Source organism: Homo sapiens, chromosome 4, assembly GCF_000001405.40.
Source record: "Homo sapiens chromosome 4, GRCh38.p14 Primary Assembly".
Lineage (NCBI taxonomy): Eukaryota > Metazoa > Chordata > Mammalia > Primates > Hominidae > Homo > Homo sapiens.
In genome coordinates this window covers 127,030,800-127,037,769 of record NC_000004.12, presented here as the reverse complement: position 1 = coordinate 127,037,769, position 6,970 = coordinate 127,030,800, and the positions used below count along the sequence as shown (strand labels likewise).

The 6,970-nt window shown below is 37.6% G+C and overlaps 1 annotated feature.

The window, feature by feature from the left end:
- Nucleotides 1,876–2,045: an enhancer, noted in NCBI's record as "experimental_73301 CRE fragment used in MPRA reporter constructs". NCBI's record gives its function as "activates a minimal promoter by MPRAs in K562 erythroleukemia cells, with activity observed for both the introgressed and non-introgressed 4:127956965 variant alleles {active_cell/tissue: K562}" and the evidence as "EXISTENCE:reporter gene assay evidence [ECO:0000049][PMID:34662402]".

The window sequence follows — 6,970 nt, the reverse complement described above, 5'->3', positions numbered from 1 at the left end:
CCTGGATTGCCTTAGAAGTTTCTTTATGTTAATTTTCAACCTTATCTTGGATCGCACTGAGCTTCCTTGCATCCATGATTTGAATTCTTTATCTGTCATTTCTGAGTTTCCATCTTGGTTAGGGACCAGTGCTGGAGAGCTACTGTGATCCTTTGAGGTATCACGTCATCAAGATTTTTCATGGTACTAGAATTCTTGCCCAGGTTCCTTCTCACCTGGAGAGACTGGTATTTTTTAATTTTTGAATTATTCTCTTGTGGGTAGGATTATTTTTTTCTTTCTTTCCCTATAATATTACTATTTTTTCTTTTTTCCCTTTCCCTTTCCCCCACTCCTTAGAGGGTATGACTCTAGAAAATGCTGGGTAGCGTCTTTTGACTTTTCTTCCACAGCCAATGGACTTCTGCTGGCAGGTTTTATATTGGACTGTGCAGTTTGACCTACAATCAATAGATAGTGCTATGGGTGAGAGCTGACTGTGGCCAACACATGGCTGGGTATATACTTAATCCTTGTTTACCAGGAGAAGCTCTCTGTTGCTTCAGGCAAGAGGCTTATTTGTGGAGTTCACAGTGGTCTGAGCTCCCTGCTCAGCCCCAGTGGGATAAGGGGGAAGATGTGTAGAGTTGGACTATACAGGTCCACCTACAAGGCCCTGGTTGCAGGTACAAACACCAGGCCTGAGGACGAATCCAGTGGACAGCCACCAAGAGCCCAGAATTGTTCCTTGGCATGGAGCTGGAAAACCTCCTTGGCCCCAAGTTTGCTGCATGAGGAACAGGGGGTGGCCTAAATGACTAATCCAGGTGAGTGGGTGCTCCAAATGCTTGGAGATCTACCTGACTGTGGAGTGAAGAGGGTCTTATTGCACCAAAATCTATACCCAGGTAGTGGGGGTTAGCTCAGGCTGTCGAACCAGGTGAGCAGGTGCTCCTAATTCCTGGAGATCTGTCTGGCTATAGAGTGGCCCCTATGCAGAGGATCTCTGCACAGGATGAGTAGGATGACTCAGGCTGCTAGCCTGTGTGAATGGGTGCTCTGAATGCCTGAAGATGTGTCTGGGAGTGGAGCAAAGAGGGCCCCATTGCACCACAATCTATGTCCATGAGGGTGGGTTAGCTTAAGCTGCTGTTCCAGGCAAGTAGATGCTCTAAATGCCTGAGGTTCTGCCTGGAGTGGGGCAGAGAGGGTTTCTCTATACCATCTCAGGGGAGCAGGCTGAAGCACTCAACAATGACACACACAAACCAGTTCCAGGTCACTAACCTGGCCCTGGCTGCCAGTCGTGTCATCCAGGAGAGACTGTAGTTGTAGCAGCTCTCTTCCTGCCCCAGGCCTGTGATGGAGAAGAATACAATTCCACTGCCATTGCTGAGTCACTTTCCACGGTTCTGGATGTGGAAGCCTCTAATCTGCTTCAGAGCAGGTGCTCCAATCTCCTGCCCAAGACTGAAATGCCTGTGCAGCCACGGTGCCGGGTTGACTTTATTTGCACCTGGATTACAAATGGTGTCCTTCTCTTGGTCCTGGTCTAGGAAAATGTCTGCAGCTTTTCCGAGTGTCTTCCCCTCACAGCATCTTCAAGCCTCTCCCCAGGTAAGCTCCAGGGCTTGGGAGAAACAAAGTGCTTTCCCTCAGCCTGGATTGCTTGGATCCTCAGTGGAAAGGTGAGTCACAGAGGCAAGCTCTCTGTCTCTCTGATGTACTGGGGCTTCACTCACCTCTATCAGTCAGACACTGTCATGGGGTCTGTTTTCCCATGTTCTCCTTCCCAGGATCTGGGTGTCCTTCCTGATTCCAGTGTACTCCTATTTTCCTTCTTGACATAAAGCTCATGGAGTTGGTCTTTATGCACTGTCTTGCTATTTCCAAGTGGTTGAAGCATGCTAAAAGCCTCTAATCTGCCATCTTGAAACAACAACAAAAAAGAGCAAACAAAACTGACGTTCAATTTCAAAATGGGAGTGATTCTAGATTCTGCGGAGGCTAAAGCTTATACAATTTAGATATCTGTCCTTCCCCCTCAAACCCCTTTCCTCTAAGTCATATATTTAAAAGTTAGGTATAAAGTAATTATTTAGAATAAAAAAGAAACTACAAAAATTACTAACTTAAAAAAACTGACAAATCATAATCATCACAAATTCATGAATATAACATAATATTTTATTAACTACCTGACATACCTATATATATATATATATATATATACACACACACACACTGTTTCTTACATTTTTTGACCTGCATATGCTTCAAATGAAAACAATTTTTGTTATGTTTGCAACAGAGAGAATGAAAGGATAACTCAATACTTCCTCTAGCATGGTTGATTATATATGTGAAAAGTACATATATATGTGTGTGTGTATAATATATATATATAATATATATATATCTGAAAGAGGTTTTTCTAAACTGCCAATAACGTATATTGATAGTTTAGAAAATATACATTACCAAAAGTTTTGAAAAAACTATTTTATCTAAACAATTCATTATTTGTTATTTGTCATCAGTTTTTAAGATCACTGTAAAACTGGGAGAAATACTATCATAGGTTTGTGCATATAAAAACAATAGAGAATTTTTAAAAGATAAATTTAGAGATGACAAAAAAAGTACTCTAGGCTGGGCATAGTGGTTCATGCCTGTAATTCTAGCACTTTGGGAGGCCGAGATGGGAGATTTGCTTGAGTCTAGGAGTTTGAGACCAGCCTGGACATCACAGTGGGACCCAATTTCTGCAACATCCACAAAAAAGCCTGGCATAATGGCATCTACCTGTGGTCCCAGCTTCTCAGGAGGCCTAGGTGACAGAATTGCTTGAGCCTGGGAGGTCGAGGCTGCAGTGAGCCATGATTACAACAGTGCACTGCAGCCTGAGTAACAAGAGTGAGGTCCTTTATTATTTTTATTAAATAAATAAATAAATACAAGAAAGCACTCTTCATACCAGGAGTCTTTTTTTCCTCACGTGATTTAATCAGACATTCCTAATCTAAGGGTCTTTCCAAGTTTCTTCTGATGTCATAATAATTTTATTTTATACTGATAAAAATTCCAGAAACCTGTGATCACAGGAACATATTGCTAGGCTTCCTCCCGTATCTTTAGAAGGGGTCTGTGCAGGTGAGGGGTCCCTGAATGTCATAAGATTCAAGGTAAACCCTAATAAACCTACTTCTGGATCTTTGTCACTTTTCTGTTATTTCCGTCTAAGAAATCAACTGAATTTGCTCTTCCGCTCCCGACTGACATCTTCCACAAAGCACTCTGGGCCTACAATGGCCTTAGGGACTCTCTAAATGCTGGACCTTTTTCACTCTGTGGGCTTAACCAAAATTTTAGACTCTTCATCTAAAATTAGGTCTTTGATGTCCAGTTTTCATGTTGAGTATACACACAGACACATTATGGATTTGACCCATTAACCCTGCTTTTTGTTTGCAGAGACCATTGTAGATTTGGCCTTTTCCCCTACATTTCCTGAGATACAGCCCTCCCTTCCAGTTTCCCCTAAACAACTGTAGTCAGTGTAAAAGCCTGGGTTACCCTCATGCAACAGTGTCCATTGGCCAGTGAAGGGCCAGTTTGAGCTTAGCTTACAAAACTACTTTGTACATTTTGATTTGAGCTGTTGGCCAAGTTAACTGGGGTTAGCATTAAAGCAGGGTTTATCTCTTATACTTGGCTCTGTCCCCACTTTCTTCCCTTTTGCCTATATTTTTTTCCTTCTGGGATTTCAGCACACCACTCAGCTGAGAACCCGCATGTAATAGGAAGTTTGAAAAACAAAGAATACTCAAGTACATTCTGGAAGAAAAGTATGTGATGAAAGTATATCTATACTGAAAAGAAAAGATGTTTTAAAAGGAACAAATAACATGTACTGGGAATTTTTTTTTTAAACTGAAGAAATATGCCTTTCTATTCCCTTGAATCAGATGGTACTACATGGCATTACTGACATATTTATCTGTTAACAGGTTAATGGGAATAAATACTTCTTCCACCTAAACCTGGCTGATCATCATACATCTGGTTTGAGATTATTTAGTGTGAGCGAACAAAGGAAATATCTCAGAAAACTGTCAGAAACTAGGCCAGTAAGAATTCCAGACACTGTAACATGATAAATGGATGCTTTGTTTATTTTAGTTATTGGATGGGATGTTGGATGGCTAAGTCTTCATGTTGTGTGTGAAGGTTTCTGTTTTACATTTCTTTGGGTTTTGATCTCCTCTTTTGGTCTAGTTTCCCAATACGACAGACCTCAGGTTGTTCATAGTCTAATATGGTTCCTGATATTACTTGCATACATTTTACTGCTGTTAGGTAATTGGATTATTTGATACAGATGGTAGAAACAATATTCCTGCAAGATAAATTACATGTTGTAATTTCAGCCAGCTAGAGATGGGCCAGTACAGGGTAAGTTGCTGTATGTTGTGTTTCACACATTTTACCTGGTGTTCCCAGCATTCCAGAAGCTCGACTGAGTCTTACATTCTAGTACATGCTCAGTGGTATTCGGAAACTGGAAGCAATTCTCTGAAAGTGCACTGTAGGAACATGGAAAATATGGGATGTTATTTTCGTCTGTTTTCTGTGACTATAACTGAATGTGTGAGGTGGGGCGATTGATAATGAACAGATATTTATTGGCTCATAGTCCTGAATTCAGGGAAGTCTGAGATAGAGGGGCTAGCCTGTGGTGAGGCCTTTCTTGTGGTGGCATCCTATGGAAAAGACAAAAGAGTAAGAGAGAAGATGAGAGAGGGCAAGAGAGTGAATAGAGGACAAAACTTGCCCATTTATAATGAACACACTTTCGCCATAATGACATTAATCTGTTGATGAGGATGGAACCCTCCCAGCCCAATCCCATCTCATTAGGCCTTCCCTTCCAATACTGTTGCAATGGGGTTTCCAACACCTGCTTTTTGGGGGATATATTCAAACTATAGAAGACGCTAAGGAGTGAAAAAAATAGCATTAGTATGAACAGAAAGCTTCTACATATAAATTGCAACTTGAAACTGCAATGTGATAGCCTCTTTTCTCCTAATGAAATATGAACAAAATATTTGCTTAATTTTTAAAATATATCACTTTTCAAATATAGGGTTGTTAACTTTGAAAAAACAGGTTTTAAATTTCTGTTCTCTATCATTTGTATCAGGCCTCCAAAGATCTTCTTTAAAGATTCACGCCTTTTCTTAAGAAGGTTATGAATCTATGATTTAAAAAATTTGGAAACTTATATTAGCTTTTTGATTTGACAGATTTTTTTTGTCTTTTCTCCATATTTTTAAAAGCAGTAACCCCAAATACCAAATACATGTGTTTATGGCATGCAGGTCTTTCTGATGAGCCCATAAAAACTGAGGCCCCACATTTCCTTGTGAATTGATGATTTATTACCATAGTTGAATAGTTCTTTTCATTGGCATAGAATATTTTTTTCAAGGTGCATTTGATCATGATTAATTAGTCTCACAGAATCCTAAACCTCCAAAATCATAAGTATGTGATTTATCCTTACCAAGCGTTAATTACATAAAAAAAAACTGAATAAACCTTAATTTGTAATACTTTTCTAGAATTATACCCTAAGAAACTTTTCTATTAAATACAGATAAAGTGAAAAATAATCTTTTCTTTTATGTTATTTATAACTTTAAATGATTTTAAAATAATGATTATCAAAAGTAATTACTGTATGATACATGTGTGTAGAAAATTACTTATATGCAATTATCCATTAAATAAAACCATATTCAAGAATAAAGTTTCAATGTGGCTAGAGTAAATTTTGTAGATTACTGTCTCTCAAATGGTAAACATTTTTAGTGTATTACTTAATTTTAATTTTTGTGATAAATGATAGTGATTCCCAGTGGAACCTTTTTTGGCTTATTTTCTACTAAAACTAAAACACCATTTTCACAGGTGTAATAACCAAGAAAAGACAGAAAAAGGTCAAGCAAATTCAAATAATTATATCCAACAAAGTTTAATTTCTGTATTTATTTTGGCATGAATATTTCTTTATGGAAATGTTTTTGTTTTTGAAATGAGGTAAATAAAGAGTGCTATGTTCTGAGAAATTTCCCTGTGCTGCTAAGGTACAAAATATTTGGCTGTCTTTCACTTACTGGCCAGATATATAAAATAATAATATATCACAATCTATTTAGTTTTTATTATGTCTATGTAATTGGCCTCAAATTAGTGACATATAGTCATAACCATATTAACCTACATTCTAATGCTGTCTATTCTTTGGATGGTTTGTTGTACTGTACATGTTGTCCAATTGATAAAAAATGTTCTCTATAAAAATGACAAATATATTAATATAGAATTATACTTAGGATTTCTTAAAACTTTGTTCAATTTGAATTATGATCCATCTGAAAAGAAACATTTTTCAGGATTTCCAGGTTTGGTCCTTGGTGATTCTCCCGTCTAATGACAGAAGTCAAATTTTGTGCTATATTTGGATGAAAAACATTAAGCTATTAAAATTAAAAGAAGAAAGAACAGCAACAGATTTGAAAGGAGCATTAAAACATGAAGAAAGCATTTTCTAAAATCCGTAGTGGGGCTATTTACATTTTGACAGTAATTACTAATAAAACTAATATCTGAGAAGTTGAAATTCAAATGAATACTAATCAGTGCATATTTTTTGCGTTCCTATTTTAAGTCCATTGTTGATTTGGATATTGTGAAAAGAAAAAAAGTGGTAAATGTTACCATATCCACTTTCTAGGAATTTGATATCCATTTAGTGAGACAAAAGTAATCCATATAAAACAGCATAATCCACCTTTCGTGGGATATATAAGAAAATTGTTCACTATTATGGCAGAAGCCTAATCTTTCAAAACATCAGATCTTATCAAAGCAAAAACAAGTGATTACTTGAGGAGATGCATCATGATACAATGGAAAGAATCTG